This window comes from Homo sapiens, chromosome 8 (assembly GCF_000001405.40).
Source record: "Homo sapiens chromosome 8, GRCh38.p14 Primary Assembly".
Lineage (NCBI taxonomy): Eukaryota > Metazoa > Chordata > Mammalia > Primates > Hominidae > Homo > Homo sapiens.
The window spans coordinates 80,430,053-80,452,186 of NC_000008.11; the positions used below are offsets into that span (position 1 = coordinate 80,430,053).

Below are 22,134 nucleotides of genomic sequence, written 5' to 3' on the forward strand. Positions count from 1 at the left end.
TGGCAAAGGGGCCAGATAAGCCTGGGCTCATCTTCCAGCTCTAAAGTTGGCTCCCCATGCCATTAGTTAGGGGACCATGTCCTATGGACCTTGGGCATTTATGATCTAAGCCTCCATTTCCTCATCTGTAAAACTGGGTTAATAATCCTCACTTTAGTGTTTATTGAGGTGATTAAATGATGCAAATCCGGTAAAGCATTGAGCACAGTGCCCGCACATAGTGAGAGCTCAACAAATAGTTTTGTTTTAGAATTACAGCACTTTGTATTTATTCAAAGCATTTTCAGATACATCATCTTATTGATCTGAGCCTTAATTCTGTAAAGATCATGAGGCAGGTATTATACACCTCTTGTACCTCTACACGCACACACACCCCCCCCACCCCTTCCGGTTCTGGACAGACACAGAAAGTTCAAGAGTCGTTCAAGTTAGTGATAGAGCTGGTATTACAAGAGTCAATAACACTGGTCTTTCTCCCTCCTATCTCACTGAGTAGGGAGGACATCCATATGTGTTCCCAGGTTCAGGCAGAGTGGCATCATGTCAACAACTACTGTTCTATTTCTGTGGTACAGTGTTCATGGAATAGAAAAAAAAATGCTATTTTCTTAATGGCTTGAAAAAACTTTATAGACAACTTAAAAGACGTCAAGGGCTCTTTGAGTGGCAGAGAAAAGGTGACTTTTAGATGAGGTGAAGGATTGGTACTTAGCCCTGCTTGGGGAACAAGCTCACCAGAAGTAAGGGATTTTAATCAAAACTGCCTGGGAAGAGGAGATATATTTCAATTTCTTCTGAAACTAAAGGTATTATTTAGCTGCAGAATTGTGATAAAGATTACCTGGGGTAAAATGCATAAAGGAATGTATATATGGAGCCATGATAGAATCTGGGGATCTGGAAGCAAAGAAAATAAGAAAAATAATACAGCTCCATTCTCTTTCATTTTTATTACATTGCCTAAATTTACACTAATTAGGATTCATCTAGGTTAATAGGCAGTTGTGGATTTTTAAAGATGCACATAATTCAAAAGTTTACTTATCTGCCAGCCATTAATAGATTAATGTGTTGTTTAATCAGATTGCTTTCCTAACTTTTAAATGACACTGAAGAAAACATGGCCGGGCGCGGTGGCTCACGCCTGTAATCCCAGCACTTTGGGAGGCCAAGGCGGGTGGATCACGAGGTCAGGAGACCGAGACCATCCTGGCTAACACGGTGAAACCCCCGTCTCTACTAAAAATACAAAAAATTAGCCGGGCGTGGTGGCGGGCACCTGTAGTCCCAACTACTCGGGAGGCTGAGGCAGGATAATGGCTTGAACCCGAGAAATGGAGCTGGCAGTGAGCCGAGATCATGCCACTGCACTCCAGCCTGGGTGACAGAGCGAGACTCAGTCTCAAAAAAAATAAAATAAAGAAAACATTTTTTCACAGGGAGAGGAGGCAGGTAATCTGCGGGTAAAGAGCAATTGGAGAAGTAGACTAAATTGGGTTCAGTCAACTAATAGGTGCCTAAGTAACCTGGGAGAACACAGGACTTTCAGGGGAATGAGTTGCAGAAAGGGAGATGGCAGAGTCCTACAATTATTATATGGCAAAATAATTTTCCAGAATTATGCCTGTATCCAGAGAAGGTGTGGAAATATTTTTCTTCTTCACCTTCTTCTTACGTAAGGGGGGCCCTTAGTCTTCCTGTAACCTTATAACTAATGATATCACTCACTGTTATTTGATTATATAATGGTTAAACAGATATTTGTGGGCCGGCCTGAGTGGTTATATTAGTTCTAGGGGGAAATTATTCTTGAAGTGCTTTTTTTTTTTAATTTACCATGCCTCCAAGACAAGTTCATGTTTTGCCTTTTTTTTTTTTTTGAAAGGATGAAGGGATTTATCGAAAATGAACGTACACTCCACAATGTGGGAATGGGCCTAAGCATAGGGGCTCAAAGGCCCTGTTACAGAGTTTTTGTGAGTTTATATACCTGCTACTTGGGGTACGCCCTATGTAAATGAAGAGGATGAAGTAAAGTTTCAAATTAATTTACTCCGTACATGCCCTGTGGAGGGGATATTTGCTGTCATAGCTGAAGTATGAATCGGCCTTTTGTTCCCTGCCTCCACGCCCTATTTTACTGCCTCATCTCCCCTCTGAGAGATGTGATCCCCATAAATCTTTATGGGAGGCAGAAGGACCGATGGTCTTTTTTCTGTAACTGCTTCATGCTGGCTCCGGGTGTAGTCCCTACTTATTGGGGATTAAAGAACTCTCATCCTGCTCCAACTAGTGGAGGCAGGGTAGATTCCTGATGGCCAGTGGTGGTGTCTTTACCTGGAACTGGCTGGAACCTTTGTTGCATGATCATCTGAAGCTTGATGGTCTCTTTATGCTGGCATGCCAGGTTTCTGGGTTCTCTCTCCCTGAGCAGCCCTGGTGACCCTGCTCTTCCTCCTGGCTGGCTCTCCAAAATATGTTAACGGTGGAGGGTGTCCAGGTTCTTGGCATCTTGAACAAATGGCATCTTGAACAAAGAATTGGACAAAATGCACAAACAAACCGAGGAAGGGACGAAGGGAAACTGAAAATGAAAGTACACTCCATAGTGTGGAAGCAGGCCTGAGCGTAGGGCCTCAAAGGCCAATTTTTGAGACAGGGTCTTTCTCTGTAGCCAAGGCTGGAGTGCAGTAGCATGATCCTAGCTCGCTGCACCTTCTACCTTCCTGGGCTCAGGTGATCTTCCCACCTCACCCTCCTGAGTAGCTGGGACTACAGGTGTGTGCCACCAAGCCCAGCTAATTTTTGTATTTTTTGTAAAGACAGGATTTCACACTGTTGCCCAGGCTGGTCTCGAACTCCTGGGCTCACATGATCCACCTCCCAAAGTGCTGGGTTTACGATTCTTGAATTTTAAATAAATAGTATACAAATTAAATGTTTTAAACTTAGGAAGTGCTATGTCTCTATTAAATATATTGATATCGCAAGCTAATATCTTTACATTAGGAACAGGCAGTTATAATAATATCCTTTATTCCTCAGCTCTCTCCAAATTGGGTGCATGTCTTGATTTTCTACTGTTATTGGCCAGTATATTTTTTGTATCACTGTAAATATTTAATGGAAAGGCAGTAGAAATAGATATATTTTATATTTTCTAAAAATAGTTTCAGTTGTTTAATTGCCCAAAATTGGTTAGAGGACTTGTTCCAAGTACAGAGTCTATCTGCTGAAAATATCTAATCTTCACAAAATACATTGTTGAACAAATTCACATATTTTGAAAATAGAACTGGACAGCAATGTCTATGGGGAATCCTTGCTAGTTATCAACCTATCCTAAAGTTGCTTGATTTCTCTTTCTTATTTTTATTTTTATTTTATTTTATTTTTTATACTTTAAGTTCTAGAGTACATGTGCACAACGTGCAGGTTTGTTACATATGTATACATGTGCCATGTTGGTGTGCTGCACCCATTAATTCGTCATTTACATTAGGTATATCTCCTAATGCTATCCGTCCCCCAGCCCCCCACCCCACGACAGGCCCCCGTGTGTGATGTTCCCCATCCTGTGTCCAAGTGTTCTCATTGTTCAATTCCCACCTATGAGTGAGAACATGCAGTGTTTGGTTTTCTGTCCTTGCGATAGTTTGCTCAGAATGATGGTTTCCAGTTTCATCCATGTCCCTACAAAGGACATGAACTCATCCTTTTTTATGGCTGTGATTTCTCTTTCTAAATATTCTATTTCTCCTGAAATTATTTGAAACTTCAAATGAAAATCTCCAAATATGCATGGCACCAAATTCAGCACAAAACTTATCAGAGCAAGTAGCATTTATTTGGCATTACTCTTTTCCTAACTGACCTCCTTCATTTTTCATTAAATTTATATCATGGTTACCAGATTTGTGAGTTAATTTGAGTCAGTTTCTAAAATACCACATTAACACAGAAGACATTTAAATACAAGGATTCAGAACAATAAGTAACACCTTGTTTTAGGCTTTTTCTTTCCACTTACACCATCTTGGTGCTAGTTACTATTATCTCTTTTCTTTTTTTGAAAGAGAGTCTCACTCTGTCGCCCAGGCTGGAGTGCAGTGGCACCATCTCAGTTCACTGCAACCTCCGCCTCCCGGATTCAAGTTATTCTCCTGCCTCAGACTCCCAAGTAGCTGAGATTACAGGCGCCCACCACCATGCCCGGCTAACTTTTGTATTTTTAGTAGAGACGGGGTTTTGCCATGTTGGCCAGACTGGTCTTGAACTCCTGACCTCAGGTGATCCGCCTGTCTCAGCCTCCCAAAGTGCTGGGATTACATGCGTGAACCACTGCGTCCTGCCTACTATAATCTCTTAATTGACATTTTACAATAACTTCTGAAACTGGTCTCTATTTCCAGTCTGCCATCTGCAATCAAATCTCAACACAGTAGCCAAAGATTTATTTTAAAATAAATCAGATGGTGTCACTTTTCAGCTTAAATTCCATTAAGTGCTGACTACTGCACTTAAAATAAAATTCAAACTTTTTACCACAGCCTATGAGGCTCTGCATGACTTAGCTTACCTCTTTTCTTGTTGTTCTTCCCCCTCATTTCTGTATTTCAGCACCACTGGCTTCTCGTGTTCCTCAAGGAAGTCCAATTTGTCCCCTGCCCAGTTCTTTGGCACTTGAAATCTTCATTAGGAGTGCCTGACTCCCATCTTTCCCAAATCTGGACCCTGCTCTTCTTCAGGTCTCAGAGTTCTCTGCCTACCTATGTCATGTCATCCCCAAGACCACCCAGTCCTTCTCTAGAATACTATCCTGTCTTATTTCCTTTGCAGCACGTGTTACTAACTACAATTATTTTATCTATTTATAGCTATCTCTCTGTTTGTCCTCCCTTCCCACTAGAATTTCAGCTCAATGAAAAATGGATCTTACCTTGTTCTTAGACACTATCACTTGGAATTGTTCCTGGTACATATAGCAGTTACTCAATAGGAGTTGATTTCTTGATATTTTAAACTCCTATAACCTACATTTTAGAATTTAAAGAAGGCCTCAAAGACTATTAAGTCTGACCTTTCTGTTATAGATAATACAAATGAGAGCACAGAGAGGTTAAATGACGTATTTGGCAAGTGAAAAGACAAGTACTAGAATCCAGTTCTAATTCCATAACTTCACACAGCTACTCTATTACAGCTAGTTAGCTAGTCACCCTGAATTCTTTCCCTAATTCTTCAGCTAGCTTGATCATATATCTCTTCTTTCCCTAGATAATTTTAAGCTATTGTTTTGTCCATTCATCATGGCTAATATAATTTATTTGTGAGTCTTATTAGCCTTCTTATTAACTCTATGAAGTGCTTTGTGATTCTAGTTATGAAAACTATCTTATGAAAATCAACCATCACATGTGAAAAAAGCCAGTCTACAGCAGTACTGCACACAGTGCCTATAACAAAGGCTCAGTTATGCTGTTGCAGGAGAGAGTCAATAATTAGTAACACATTTCTAAAGGTCTCTCTTGCATAATTTTTGTGTCCAGATGTCTATGACATTTGGGTTCTAAAATAGAGTTCCAAATACCACACATTCATGTACATTTTCCAAGAATAATTGGATGATTTTGAGTCTTTCTATTTAATAAACATCAGGACTAAAGATGGCCTACTTCACAATATCAAATTTATTCATTTTAAACATCCATTTTGATGTGGAAAGTGTTTGGCATAAATACAATTAAAAGAGTGCCGGATTGTAAATCCTTTGAAGTTTTTGTTTATGATCTATCTCTTCCAACTGCTAGTAGTGTAAAAATGGAATGTAATTTGCATAAAATTTTTCAATTCACATGTTCTTAGAGCTTAACTATTAACAATTCCCACAAAACACTCTGGTGGATCCCCATGGCTGGGGGTGCAAAGTCCAAGTGCCCTAATAAGGTACAAGCTCCCTTTCCTGCATCTGGTCCTGCCTACCTCTCAAGCGTCAACAGCTGCCACTCCCTTCCCAAAGTTTATGCTCCAGGAACACTGAGTTGCTTGTAATTCCTGGAACACAATGGAATGTTTCTTGTTTCCATGTCTTTCTGCATACTGTGCCCTTTCCACTTCACTCAGCTTGGTCCTATGCAATCTACAAGTTTCAGTTCATAGGCCACTTCCTGTAAGAAACTGTCTCTGATGTCCTCAAGTTGGGTGAGGGAGACTTAGAGTTTAACTTCCTCCCTGAGTTACAATGAATTATAACTAATTGTTTATGCATGTTTCCCAGTGGGCCATGGACTACTAAAAGGAGCTCATCTTTGCCTCCACAACATCTAGTAGGAGTTAAATAAAAGTTAAATGAGTCAGGTATATTGGTGTGCCTGTAGTCCCAGCTACTCTGGAAGCTGAGGTGGGAGGGTCACTTGAACTCAGGAGTTCAAGGCTGCAGTGAGCTATAATTGTGCCACTGCCCTCTAGCCTGGGCAACAGAGCAAGATCCACCCTTTCCCAAGAAAAAAAATTAAATTAATAAAAAATTTGCATAATAAAATTAAATCAGCAAAAAGCAAAGGCTGGACTTCAGTGATTACTAGGTGCGTGAAAAACCTCAGTTAACTAGAACTGAGTCAATTTGCTGAAATTTTGAAAGAAGAAGATTTACACTTTATGTTTTTTGTTTTTCTTTTGAGACAGAGTTTTGTTCTTGTTGCCCAGTTCTGGAGTGCAATGGCATGATCTCAGCTCACCACAACCTCCACTTCCCGGGTTCAAACAATTCTCCTGCCTCAGCCTCCCGAGTAGCTGGGATTACAGGCATGTGCCACCACGCCCAGCTAATTTTGTATTTTTAGTAGAGATGGGGTTTCTCCATGTTGGTCAGTCTGGTCTCGAACTCAGGTGATCTGCCCACCTCAGCCTCCAAAAGTGCTGGGATTACAGGTGTGAGCCACCGCCCCCAGCCTATACTTTATGATGTTGTTGTTGTTGTTTTCCTTTATATTTTTAAAAACAGTTTCAGTATTTCTTTTTTGCTTTTACCAAGGATCTCTTCTGTTGTTGTTGAGACAGAGTTTTGCTCTGTTGCCCAGGCTGCAGTGCAGTGGTGCAATCTTAGCTCACTGCAACCTCTGCCCCCCGGGTTCAAGTAATTCTCCTGCCTCAGCCTCCTGAGTAGCTGAGATTACAGGTATGCACCACCACGTCTGGCTAATTTTTGTATTTTTAGTAGAAACAGGGTTTCACCATGTTGGCCAGTCTGGTCTCGAACTCCTGACCTCAAGTGATCCACCCACCTTGGGCTGGGATTACAGCCATGAGCCACTGTATCTGGCCTCACTCATTCTTTCATTAATTTTAAAGAGATCCTTGGGCTGGGTGTGGTGGCTTACACCTGTAATCCCAACACTTTGGGAGGTCAAGGCGGGAGGATCAGTTGAGACCAGGAGTTCGAGACCAGCCTGGCCAACATGGTGAAACCCCATCTCTACTAAAAAACATAAAAATTAGCGGTGGTGCACACCTGTAGTCCCAGCTATATGGGAGGCTGAGGCAGGAGAATCTCTTGAACCGGGGAGGCAAAGGTTTCAGTGAGCCAAGATCGCACCACTGCATTCCAGCCTGGGTGACAGAGCAAGACTGTCTCAAAAAAACAAAAAAAAAGATGCTGTATATTTTTTAAATGAATATAGATATTTGAGATTAATAAAATATAAATATATTTAAAACAATACTTAATCCACAGAACTGATGTCATTATATAATATTACAATCTGCATATTAATGCATTCATTCAACAAATATCTATTGAGAACCCAGTATGTGCCAGGCCCTGTGAAGGTACTGGGAACTCAGTAGTGAACAAGCTAGAGGTAGTTCCTGTCCTCAGGGTGCTTATAGTCTAATAGGAGAGACAGACAATGAACAAACAGGTAATAATAAATGAGGTGACTCTTGTGAATAAAAAAAAAATCTGGAAAATATGTTAGAATAAAATAGGAGAAAATGAAACAGGTATTCAAATAAGGCCCTTCCAGAAAAGTAAGTTTTAGACTAAGATCTAAGGTCTAAGAAGCAGCTAGCACAGAAAGAGGTGGGGGAATAGCATTCTGAAGAGAGGGATCAGTATGTGCAAAGGCCTAGTTGAGGAAGAGCCGGGCTGGGTGTGGTGGCTCACGCCTGTAATCACAACACTTTGGGAGGGTGAGGCAGGTGGATCATGAGGTCAAGAGAGCGAGACCATCCTGGCCAACATGGTGAAACTGCGTCTCTACTAAAAATACAAAAATTAGCTGGGCAGGTGGCGCATGCCTATAGTCCCAGCTACTCGGGAGGCTGAGGCAGAAGAATCGCTTGAACTCAGGAGGCTGATGTTGCAGTGAGCCGAGATGGGCGCCACTGCACTCCAGCCTGGTGACAGAGCAAGACTCTAACTCAAAAAATAAATAAATAAATAAATAAAAAGAAGAAAAAGCCACATAGTCAGGCATGGTGGCTTGTGCTGAAATCCAGCTAATAGGGAGGCTGAGGCAGGAGGATTGCTTGAGGTCAGGATTTCAAGACAAACCTGGGCAAAACAGTGAGACTCTATCTCTTAACAACAAGACTGGGCTGGGCGCAGAGGCTCACATCTATAATCCCAGCATTTTGGGAGGCCGAGGGCAAGACAGCTGGATTGCTTGAGTCCAGGAGTTCAAGACCTGACTGGGCAACACGGCAAAACCCCATCTCTACTAAAAATACAAAAAAAAAAAAAAAAAAAAAAAAGAAAGGTCATGGTGGTGAGCATCTGTAGTCCCAGCTGAGGCAGGAGGATCTCTTGAACCTGGGAGGTGGAGGTTGCAGTGAGCCAAAATTGAGCCACTGCACTCCAGCCTGGGCAACACTGTAAGACCCTGTCTCAAACAACAACAACAACAACAACATCAACAACAGTAACATGGCTGGGTGTGATGGCTCACACCTGAAATCCTAGCACTTTGGAAGGCAGAAGCAGGAGGATCGCTTGAGCCCAGGAGTTTGAGACCAGCCTGGGCAAGATAGGGAGACCCCATCTCTATTTAAAAACAACAATGAGAACCTCATGTGTGGCTGGGCGCAGTGGCTCACGCCTGTAATCCTGGCACTTTGGGAGGCTGAGGTGGGCGGATCACGAGGTCAGGAGTTCGAGGCCAGCCTGGCCAACATGGTGAAACCCCGTCTCTACTAAAAACACAAAAATTGGCCACACGTGGTGGAGGATGCCTGTAATCCCAGCTACTTGGGAGGCTGAGGCAGGAGAATCACATGAACCCAGGAGGCGGTGGTTGCAGTGAGCCAAGATCGTGTCACTGCACTCCAGCCTGGGCGACAGAGTGAGACTCCATCTCAAAAAAAAAAAAAAGAAGAAGAAGAACCTCATGTGTTTGAGGAACTGAAATAGGGCCATTGTGGATGGATACAGCATGCTGGGCAAGACCAAATCATGCAGAGCGTGTGGGCCATTACAAGGGATTTCCTTCTAATCACAGTATGAAAAACGTGGACAGGGGTAGGCCAGTCACAGTCTATCTAAATTACTTCATGTAGTGCTGATTTATGTTGCATTTACATAATCACCTAATTTTATCAGATACTCAAATAGTATTTATGAAATTATTTTTCAGAATACAGAATAGAATATTGTCATACTGAACATCTTCTCAGAAAATGAACATTTATTTTAGTAGATCTAGTCAACTGTATATTGACAGAAGCTTGGCCCTTCAGGGTGCCCTCTCATCCAACCTTAAATGGATATTCACAGAGAAAAAGGGCTATTGACATAAGGATCCAGAAAGCAAAATTTTCTCTTTTTTTTTTCTCAGAGAGAGAGTCTCGCTCTGTCGCTCAGGCTATAGTACAGTGGCATGACCATAGCTCACTGCATCCCTGAACTCTTGGGCTCAAGTGATCCTCCCACCTCAGCCTCCACATGCCCCACTCCTAGCTATTTTTTTTATTTTTCTAGAAACCAGATCTCATCATCTTGCCCAGGCTGTTCTCGAACTCAAGAGATCTTCCCGCCGCAGCCTCCCAAAGTGCTGGGATTACAGGTGTGAGCCACTATGCCTGGCCTAAAATTTTTTCTCTTTAACTCTGGGCACACTGGTTCCAAAATGCAACATTCTCTCCAGTTGATTATTGTCCTGGCCATGAAATTCCAAAGGACTATGACCTGAGATCGAGCTGGGGGTGGAAGCAGATGCTTTTAGCTAGGGATGAATGTTGCTGTCTTCATACTTGAATTCTGGAAGATCACTCTACTGCTAGCTCTTTTATTCTCATTGTTCTTGCATAAGCTGAATTTTTGTGCCTCCAAGGTATTCTCCCAAATGAGGAGGAGGCTATGTTTCTATATCCTTTTGTGTTTGAAGGACAGTCTCAAACTCAAAATGAGAATATAGAGATCACACAAGCCAGACACAGAAAGACAAATACTGCATGATCTCACTCATATGTGGAATCTAAAAAAAAAAAAAAAAGTTGATATCAGAAGCAGAGAAGGGAACAGTGGTTGCCAGAGACTGGGGAGGGGGAGAAGAATGGTGGTATGGGGAGAAGTTGGTCAATAGGAACAAAGTTACAATTAGATAGAAAATAAATTCTGTACAGTTGGGTGACTATGGTTAATGGTAAAATATGTACATTACAAAATAGCTAAAGGAGAGGCCTTTGAATATTCTCATGACAAAGAAATGATAAATGCATAAGGTGATAGATGTACTAACTACCCTGACTAGATTATTAAACAGCATAGATATTTATGAAAACATGTACTATTACAATGTGTCAATTAATTTTTTCAAAAGAATATAGTGATCATAAGCACACAATACTAATGAATATCTAGGTAGTATTTTATGGTTTGTGAATGCACAATTCCTATAACTTGAGGCATTTGCCCTTTACTGTGCTCTAAGAGAGATTGAGAAGTCAGCTGTCAGCAATTTCCCTGGGGTCTCGAAGCCTTGGTGATGTAAGCACTTTTCTTCATTGGGTTAAACTTAGGAGGAAAGGAAAATCTGCTGAGTTAGTATTTTTGGTGGCAATAAGCCAGTTTTCCTTTCCATATGTTGTTTGTCCTGGAGCACTTTTATAAGGTACATGGGATTCATTTCCACTGAAGGAGAGGCCGTACAGCATAGGGGAAAAATGAATGACACAGGACTGTATGATTAGTTATTTACCATGATCTGCAGAAGGGTATAAAAATTGGGAATGGGCAGGCATGGTGGCTCATGCCTGTAATATCAGCACTTTGGGAGGCTGAGGTGGGAGGATGGAGGCTGGGGATTAAGAATGGGCACAAATTCAGGCTGCCATTCCAGAAAGTGAACAGGTTTTCTTGATTTCTTGTACAAAACAGGTTGCTAGAAGGTCAAGGCTGGGAAAGTTTGGTTTGAAGTGCTGGCCCTCACTGAGGTGGGGTTTTGGACTAAGAAAGGACCCCTAGTTTGCTAATTGAGTTCAAGTGATGGTTGAGTTCCCAGTGCTCTGACAAGGGAAGTAGAGATTACTGCAATGGTAGCATATGGGAAGGATTTGGAAAGGAAGGCTTCCTGGAGGAAGTCCTTTCTAAGCTGAGATCTAAATCATGGAGATGGAATTTCAGGTACAGGAGTGGGATGGGAAATAAGTGAGGTGTGCTGGTGTGTGGAGCATGGAGAAGCTTTTATGCAAAATATAGTTAATGAAGGTGTGTTCTAGGAACTGAATGTAATTTGAAACAGTGTGCAAGTTGCGGGGGAAGGGGTGATTGAGAGGAGGCTAGAGTTGTGCAACCAATTATGAAGGACAAGCTCAAGATTTAACTGAGGATAAGGGTGACCCAATAAGGGTTTTAAGGAGAATGATCAGTTGATGAATATCAATAAATATCAATTGGGTGTCATTGTGAAGAATGGATTGGAGGGGTCAGGAGGTAAAACAGAAGACCAGTCAGAGGCTATTGTAATAATGAAAGTGATGGATAGTGATGAACTGAACTAAGGTAGTGGTGGTGGAGTGAGTGGAAATGGATGGAATTAGGAAGTGAAATTAGTAAGACTTGATATGTGTTTGGAAGAAGGGAGTGAGGGAGAATAAGTTGTCCAGCGTTCTTCTAGGTTTCTGGTTTAAAGAGGAGGTAGATGATATGTCTGTTCCCTAGGTAGGATGGCACCCAAGAGAGCTGGTGCAGTGTTCTTTGCATTAGGCCACGCTCCCTCCTCTCTACTGCAGGTCATGCTCTGGTGAGAGGGAAGTCTGGGCAGCCAAAAGGCAGCTATGAATTGAATACGATAGTCATGATTTCCCAAGGTAGTACTGTTCTATGCCTACTGATTCTCATCTGGTTTATCGTTTTTCTGGAGAACAGCATCGAGTTTGGACCATAAATGACAGTCACCTACTTATATGGGTGACTGCCCTTAGAAGGAAAAATGTGTTAGTTATTTTCTTAATTTAAAATTATTAATAAATTTTTTTAAATGTTATTATTTTTAGAGATAGAGTCTTGCTTTTGTCGCCCAAGCTGGAGTGTGATGGTGCCATCATAGCTCACTGCACCCTCGACCTCCTGGGTTCAAGTGATCCTCCTACCTCAGCCTCCCAAGTAGCTGGCACTACAGGCGTGCCACCAAACTTTGCTAATTTTATTTTTTGTAGAGTTGGGGTCTTACTTTGTTGCCCAGGCTGGTCTCGAACTCCTGGGCTCAAGCAATCCTTTCTTTTGGGCCTCCCAAAGTGCTGGGATTACAGGCTGAGCCATTATGCCCAGCCTAGCTCTTTTCTTGAACACAAATTTTACTGGGGTTGCAGATATAAGGTAGTGTGTGAAAGAGATGAATGGGGTAAAAAAATTTAGTAATGAATAATCCATTATTCTTATCATTTATTTGAGTAAAATTACTGTGATAGAAATTCTAAGTTATATCTATTCTGACTGAAAAAAGTTACTGAACTTTGGAAATTATTTAATGAAGTACTATCTTGGGTATATTAAACAAAAGAAAAAAACAGAAATTATTTCACCCTAACCTGTCACTTTATTTTTTAAATTGTGAGTAAATACTATAAAGAGGTGTAATAAACCATGGCCACGGCCATGGCTACAGTAGTGTATATTTTTTGCACAGGCTTTTTTTTTTTTTCACATGGATGTGATTTAATGTAGAAGAGATTATTCTTAGGATATAATTGGGCTTTACTCCAAAGTGGATGAAGCTCAATTATATTCTAAAGTGAATAGTTGATTCCAGGGCTATGAAAAAGATTTCCTGGATCTCTGAACTGATGAGACTGTTCTATAGCTCCATGTTAAAGTCTTAAAATCCACTTAAATGTTTTTTTTTAATCTGGAAGCCTCATTTGTATATTTGTAGCCCACTTCCTTCCAAAAAGGATCCAAGATAGCTCAAAAATATTGAGTCCCCATTAGAAACCAGTTTTTCATAGTAGTTGATATGTTTCTAACCCCAAACTTTTTTTGAAAGCTAACTTATACAGGCTGCCTTGTTATTTCATTTTCAAACAGATTGCATTCCAAAAATGCATTTCAGGGTTGGCTCTTTGGAAATTGGAATACATTTTTTTTCAGAAACATTGTGATGGTTGAGTTCCCAGGCTAGTGCACAAAAACCTGGTCAACTTTGGATGTATACTACTCATTTGAATTCTGGTTTCTAGAAGTATTACTGAGGAGAGTGGAATAAATAGAGCTTTACCCCCATTTTCTATATAAGAGGAAAATTCCAGAAAATGTGAAGCCTGTCTTATTATCTCCACCCTTTTCTTCATGTTTCTCTCTCCTGTTGGTGTTTCGCCAGGGCTTCTGTCCTGGCCCAAGGCAGCACAGCTTCCCTCCATTTGGGCTTGTTCCAACTCCTAAATAATGTTATATTTCCTAATGATTGCTTCTTTCTTCCCTAATAAAACTTCGATGCCCTCAGCGTAGTTATCTTAACCTCCCATTAAAGCATTGAACACCCATATGTGAATGACTAATGAATTCTCAATATTTGCAGAGCTGTTTTTAAAAAGACAGGGAATATATGTTATTTCAAACATGTATGACGTGGGGGAAAGAACGTTGTGCAATAGAGTAATAGAAAAGGGGTAAATTCAGGTTAGGATAAGGCAGTTTTAGACTAGGGCTTCCAGAGTTAGATTCTTTAAATTCCTACTTTTATTTGTTTGTTTGGTTATAGTCTCTGCCTTTCCTTTTAAATGAGAGCAACAACTAGCATTAGCATATCACTTTATAAATACTATGATATACATTTGAACTGGTAAGGGATTATTTCTATTTAACAGAAAAGGAAACTGAGGCTCAGAGAAGCTAAGTGCCTTACTCAGGATCTCTAGCTGGTAGGGTTGAAGCTCAGATTGAGAATCCGGTTTCTAAGACTCCTCTTCTGTGCTAGTTCTGATGCATTAGACTCTCAGAGGTTCCAAAGTTCCAAATATCTCCATGTTTATAGTTTAGGCTCTGGCACTGCTGCAAAGAGAAGAGCATGGAAAGTCAGGGATTTAGTTCAGCAATGCCATTCCCAAAGCAGTTTCTGTCAGAATTTAGATGTGCCTCCTTGGCTGGGTGCAGTGGCTCATGCCTGTAATCCCAGCACTTTGGGAGGCCAAGGCAGGCAGATCACTTGAGGTCAGGAGTTCGAGACAAACCTGGCCAGCGTAGTGAAACCCCGTCTCTACTAAAAATACAAAAATTTGTTGGGCGTGGTGGCACGCACCTGTAATCCCAGCTACTCAGGAGGCTGAGGCCTGAGAATCACTTGAACCCGGAGATGGAAGTTGCAGTGAGCCAAGACTGTGCCACTGCACTCCAGCCTGGGTGACACAGCAAGATTCTGTCAAAAAAAAAAAAAAAAAAAAAAAAAATAGATGCGCCTCCTCCTGTCAGAAATGGTTGCTATGCTAATAGCTGATGTAAACGAGATTTGGTCAGAAGGGAGTGGGGAAATGGAGTCAGGAATAAATGGAAACATTTTGCATATTAGAGAAGATATATATTTTATATGTATATGTATATAATAATGACTTTATATTGCATATCATCATCAAAAAACATAGATCAATACCTTCCATAAATATTTTTCAGTGTTCCATTATTGATAAGACAATGAAATTATGTATCCTATAAATGTCAGTGTTTAGGAAACTTTAAGAGATGGAGAACATACGCTTGCTGAAATAGGGAAGAAATGAAAAGTAAAATTTAAAAACAGAGGCACAATTCAAGAAGCTATGATATTCGTGGTCGCAATCAGAATGAAAATGGAGCCCAGTCAAACATGTATCTGTATGTTTGGAAGAAAAGTGCCCTAATGGCAAGCTCTGCTCATGGCAGGGAACCTTCCTTCCTATTCCTAAATGACGTGCATGGACGTGTTAAACAGCCTTGGGTTACTTCCTTGTTTGGGGCCAATCAGCTATCATCAGTGAAAAAGATTACACAGGAAAACACAGATGCCCAGAAGTCCTGACTGTAGTTTTGGAAGTGAAATGCTGAGGGTACCATTTAGGTATCTCTCAGGGTGCTTAAATGTATAAACCCCTGAACAGGCCGGGCGCGGTGGCTCACGCCTGTAATCCCAGCACTTTGGTAGGCTAAGGCGGGTGGATCATTTGAGGTCAGGAGTTAGACCTGGCCAACATGGTGAAACCTTGTCTCTACTAAAAATACAAAAATTAGCGGTAGTGGCCTGCGCCTGTAATCCCAGCTACTAGGGAGGCTGAGGCGGGAGAACCCCTTGAGCCTGAGAGGTGGAGGTTGCGGTGAGCCGAGATTGGGCCATTGCACTCCAGTCTGAGCGAGAGAGTGAGACCCTGTCTCAAAACAAAAAAGTGATGGTGAAAGAGCAAAGGCAAATAATTTACTCTTCATGTTAAAAAAACGTTTACAGGGACACCTGGACTTAAAAATAATATTAGGGTGGGGCGCAGTGACTTATGCCTGTAGTCCCAGCTACTCAGCAGGCTGAGGCAGGAGGATTGCTATAGCCCAGGAATTCAAGGCTGCAGCAAGCCATAATTGTGCCGCTGCTCTCCGGCCTGGGTGACGGAGCACTGCCCCCAACCCTCCCGTCTTTATTTTTTTTTCGAGACAGAGTCTCACTCTGTCACCACGGCTGGAGTGCAGTGGCATAATCTAGACTACGACCTCTGCCTTCCAGGCTCAAGCAATTCCCCCACCTCAGCCTCTCCAGCAGCTGGGACTACAGGCGCGTGCCACCATGCCCAGCTAATTTTTGCATTTTTAGTAGAGATGGGGTTTCATCATGTTGCCCAGGCTGGTCTGGAACTCCTGAGCTCAAGTTATCCTGCCTTGGCCTCCCACAGTGCTGAGATTATAGGCGTGAGCCATCATGCACGGCGACCCCTGTCTCTAAATAATAATAATAATAATAATAATAATAGACAAACATTTATCAAAAGCTGTTCAATAACGAAAAACTTTTGCAACTGAGTGATGAAAGGAAGGTGCTAGGCTATTGCCTGCATTCAAAAGAGATGAGTCATAGAATCTTACTGTGGGAAGGAAAGAAAGGGGTTCTTGTCAAGGGGAGGGATGAGTGGGCAGAATGAGCAGGGAGGGTTGTAGTAGGTTTTTAAAAATTGCTGATAATCTATCAAGCCTAGATTGGAGAAGAATATCCCAACAATGAAAATGTTAATCCACTTACTTTAAACAAAGGCTAGGCATTTAAGTAGGCAGATAGGATGGAATTTGATACCATTTAGGGGTGATTGGATCTATTTGAAATTCAGAACCTCCTCAAAGAATGTTAGGGCTAAATTGGGGCAAAATTAGCATTTTTTCATTTGTTTTGAATTTTATTTTGGCAGGTAGAAGGACTTCTTGTTTGTATAGAAGTACACTTGGCTTTATTAAAGTATAGGAAAATTCACTAATATCCATTTACTGTACTATATTTTATTAGTAAAAGAAAGATTTTAAAATCAAAGAGGTAGTCATATACATTGGTAATTCTTAATATTCTTTACTCAGGTAATTTGTCATTATTTATTTAGACATGAAAATACTATGAGCCTCTATAACCTTAAGTTCCAGTGCAAATTATTATTTTGTTCTGTTTTTTTTTTCCACCAACAATCTTTGCATTGTGCTAGCACACAATTCTCACAGTTTAATAAAGGAGCTTCTTTTGTATTTTAAGAGCTGTGCAGAGCAAGTACTGTATATCTTTAAATGTAAATAATATATAAATTATGTTTTCATCAAATTATATTAAAATCTGCTATCTAAATACATTTATGCTGAGTCCCATATTTTTGGTTTAATGAATATTTGTTGAATAAATGAATTCTTATATTGAGAATTTAAGAACAAGTTACTTTTTTTAAAGAGCGGATTTAGTTAGATAAGACAGGTGATACAGTATGGATGAAAAAAAGCAGATATAATTAAGTCTACTGGTAGCAGAATAACTTAATATTATACAATCCTTCTGGTTCAATAAGACTCAGAGATGTGATACTAAAACTCAAAATATACAAGCATTTTTTAGTTTACTGAGCTTGTTAAATTCATTATTTCATACGGTCTTCATAATTTCTATCTCCAAAATATCCCTTAAGTATGTCTGCTCCTCTCTGTTGACACTGCATTCCTTAGTCCAGGCCTTGAACACTGCTACCCTGGGCTACACTCAATGGCTTTTACTTTATTCCATTCTCTACACAAATTAATTTCTCAAAGTGAAACCAGACCATGTCACAACCCTCTTGCTGTCCCACAACACTTAGAATAATCTCCATGTACCTTACTATGGCTGTCGGGCCGTACAGATCTGGCTCTGCCTTTTCTCTAACATCATCTCACCTCATTCTCCTCAATCATCCACTTCATTCCTGGCAAGCATCTTCTTTCAACTCCTCCAATACTATAGTATTTTCCATCTCTGGGTCTTTATGTATACTATTCTGTTTCAAAAACACATTCCCTGCCTAAAATATTATCATACTCATTCATATCCAAAGTTTCTCTTTCATCCAGCCTGGGCAACATGACAAGACCCTGTCTCTACAACATTTTTTTTAAAAAATTAGCTGGGCATGGTGTTGGGCACCTGTGGTCTCACCTATTTGACAGGCTGAGGTGGGAAGGTGGCTTGAGCCCAGGAGGTCGAGGCTGCAGTGAGCCTTGTTTGCATCACCGCTGCACTATGGCCTGGGTGACAGCGTGAGACCCTGGCTCAAAAACATAAAATAAAAAGTTTCGACTGGGCACAGTGGCTCATGCCTGTAATCCTAGCACTTTGGGAGGCCGAGGCAGGTGGATCATGAGGTCAGGAGTTCAAGACCAGCCTGGCCAAGATGGTGAAACCCCGTCTCCACTAAAAATACAATTAGCTGGGCTTGATGGCGGGCGGCTGTAATTCCATCTACTTGGGAGGCTGAGGCAGAGAATTACTTGAACCCAGGAGATGGAGGTTGCAGTGAGCCGAGATAGTGCCACTGCACTCCAGCCTGGGCAACAGCGCGAGACTCTGTCTCAAAAAAAAAAAAAAAAAAAAAGTTTCTCTTTCCTGTTCTCTTATTTGTATTTTTCATAACATTTGTCACAATTTGTAATTGCTTTGTTTTCAATTGAGTTTTTTTTTCTGTTTTCCTCCTAGATCCATGAGCATAGAGACTATATTGATCTTGTTCACTGATGAATGCCTAGTACAGAGCTGCTGTGTAGTAAATATGCAATAAAAATTCATTACATGGGAGCCAGGCACAGTGGCTGACTCCTGTAATTCCAACACTTTAGGAGGCCAACGCAGGAGGATCGCTTGAGGCCAGGAGCTCAGCACCACCCTGGGCAACAGAGCGAGACCTTGTCTCTACCAAAAATTTAAAAGTCGGCCGGGTGCGGTGGCTCACACCTATAATCCCAGAACTTTGGGAGGCCGAGGTAGGCAGATCTCCTGAGGTCAGGAGGTCGAGACCAGCCTGACCAACATGGAGAAACCACATCTCTTTTTTTTTTTTTTTTTTTTTTTTTTTTGAGATGGAGTCTCGCTCTGTCGCCCAGGCTGGAGTGCAGTAGCGCGATCTCGGCTCACTGCAAGCTCCGCCTCCTGGGTCACGCCATTCTCCTGCCTCAGCCTCCTGAGCAGCTGGGACTACAGGCGCCCGCCACCACACCCAGCTAATTTTTTGTATTTTTTTTTTTAGTAGAGACGGGGTTTCACCGTGTTAGCCAGGATGGTCTCGATCTCCTGATGTCGTGATCCGCCCACCTCAGCCTCCCAAAGTGCTGGGATTATAGGCGTGAGCCACCGCGCCCGGCCAAGAAACCCCATCTCTACTAAAAATACAAAATTAGCCGGGCGTGGTGGAGCATGCTTGTAATCCCAGCTACTTGGGAGGCTGAGGCAGGAAAACTGCTTGAACCCGGGAGGCAGAGGTTGCAGTGAGCTGAGATTGCACTATTGCACTCCAGCCTGGGCAACAAGAGCAAAACTCTGACTCAAAAAAAAAAAAAAAAAAAAGTTAGCCAGGTGTGGTGGCAAGCGCCTATACTCCTAGCTATTTGGGAGGCTGAAGTTGGAGGATTGCTTGATCCAGAAGTTGGAGGCTGTAGTGAGCTATGCTGGCACCACTGCACTTTAGCTTGGGTAACAGAGTAAAATCCTGTCTATAAAATATCTATCTATCTATCTATCTATCTATCTATCTATCTATCTCATGAGAATTAGTAAATGAAGAAATGAACAATAACCTTGTGAAGTGCACAGGTTTTTCAAAGGGGTCAACATTATTTACTAATGATCACATACCTGTTAAGTGGTGAACCAAACAGAAGTTAAGACCTTGTGATCGATGGTCTAAGGTTCAGTTTTACTCACTGATTGGCTATCTAGCTATCTCCCGCTCTTGCCACACACCCCTGTAGAGAAAATTACTTAAGAATAGGAGCAAAGCTAAGAATAGGCATGAAACATGAAGGGCACAAATAATAGATAAATTTGTTATGTCCCATACATGAACAATGAGCAAACCAAATATGATAGCTGAGAAGGAGAGACATTCCTCAATATCCACAGGGGATTGGTTCGAAGAACCCCCCATGAATACCAAAATCCATGGATGTTCAAGTCCCTTATATAAAATGGTGTAGTATTTGCATATAACCTACGCACATCCTTCTGTATACTTTAAATTTAGTAGTCTAGATTATACCTAACACAATTTAAATGCTATGTATAATACCTAACACAATGTAAGTGCTATTTATAATATGTAACACAATGTAAATATTTGTTATACTGTATTGTTTAGGGCATAATGAAAAGAAAAAATTGGGGGCCAGGCAACTTGGCTTATGTCTGTAATCCCAGTGCTTTGGGAGGCCAAGGTGGGAGGATTGCTTGAGCTCAGGAGCTCAAGACCAGCCTGGGAAACCACAGGTAGACGTTGTCTCAAAAAGAAGTAAAAGAAAATAAAGAAAAAAGTGTACATGTTCAGTACAGATGTAATTAAAAAAAAATTTTCAGCTGGGCATGGTGGCTCACGCCTGTAATCCCAGCACTTGGGGAGGTTGAGGCAGGCAGATCACTTGAGGTCAGGAGTTTAAGACCAGCCTGACCAACATGGTGAAACCCCATCTCTACTAAAAATACAAAAATTAGCTGGGTATAGTGGTACATGCCTGTAGTCCCAGCTACTCGGGAAGCTGAGGCAGGAGAACTGCTTGAACCCGAGAGGGAGAGGTTGTAGTGAGCTGAGATCACGCCACTGCACTCCAGCCTGGGCAGCAGAGTGAGACTCTGTCTCAAAACAACAACAACAACAAAAAATTAATTTTTTTTTTCTTTTTTACATGAGCCAGTTCTATAATAATGAGTAACATTTTCATGTACCTCCTTTTCCATCTCTTTTTTTTCTTTGCTATTTTATTTCTTCCTCGACTCCACCTTTGTAAAAATGTTTGATATGTATTCCGTGGAGGCGATTAATATATTCTCTGTGTAAAGCATCTGGAAACTCTAAGAAAAAGTAAAGAGGAAAATAAATCTTTACAATTTAACTATGTATATAATTTTGTATCTTACTAAAACCTATTGTATCACAAACATTTTCCCATATTACTAAAAATTCTTCACAAGCATGGTTTCTAATATCAATAAAAGAGATGATATGGATACAATCTTTTAAAATAACAAGTCCTGTCCTTCAATTACTCATTCATCTTACAATGATATGTTGAGCATACATTATGTATTATACATTAATAATACCACCAAGCCTTAGGGCTTCAATCTGATTTTCCTAGAATTTAGTAGTCATCTTTTCACACTTCAAAGCTATATTGTGGACCTCTATAATTTCAGCAGAATTACTCGTTCTCTCCTCTGTGTTCCCATAGCATAGTGTTTATGACAGTATTATGATAACTTTTGTTTTATATCATAATTAGTTAGGTGTCTCTTTCCTTCTGTTGATTATAGGCTCCCAAAGGGCAGAGGCTGTTGTTCATCCTTGTGTCCTCAGGGCCTAGGACAGGACCTGGAACTAAAGTGGATTTTTTTTTTTTTTTGAGACAGAGTCTTGCTTTGTTGCCCAGTCTGGAGTGCAGTGGCATGATCTCAGCTCACTGTAACCTTCCTCCAGAGTTCTAGCGATTCTCATGCCTCAGCCTCCCGAGTAGACGGGACTACAGGCACGTGCGCCACTGCGCCCAGCTAATTTTTTGTATTTCCGGTAGAGACGGGTTTCGCCATGTTGGCTAGGCTGGTCTTGAACTCCTGGCCTCAATTGATCCACCCTTTTCGACCTCCCAATGTGCTAGGATTAGAGGCGTAAGCCACCACGCCCAGCCTAAATCTTGAATTTATTTTTGTTATATCTGGCTGCTTCTAATTTCCAGTAACAATTTACTCATCCCACAGATAAATACCGTGGGTGCTACTTTCTACCATGCATTGTTCTGGGTATGATACATAAAGACCTAACAATAAACGGAACTTTCCAGGCCCTTCCCTTTTGGATCTTATGTTCTAATAGAGGAAGATGGTCAATAAGCAAAGAAGCAACTAAACAAACAAGAAAATTATCACATAATGGTAAATATTTCACAGAGAATTAGAACAAAATGATAGGTAGAGAATGGCCACT

At 41.2% G+C, this 22,134-nt stretch overlaps 1 long non-coding RNA gene across 1 annotated transcript; it reads right to left on the reverse strand.

Moving 5' to 3' along the window:
• Positions 1-10,041: 10,041 nt before the first annotated feature.
• LOC105375922 (uncharacterized) lies at positions 10,042-20,999 on the reverse strand. Its single transcript, XR_929097.1, has 4 exons — positions 20,880-20,999; positions 19,797-19,906; positions 14,343-14,488; positions 10,042-10,475 (listed from the first exon to the last, which is right to left on the reverse strand). It is a non-coding gene; the product is annotated as an uncharacterized LOC105375922 (long non-coding RNA).
• Between the last annotated feature and the right edge of the window lie 1,135 nt (positions 21,000-22,134).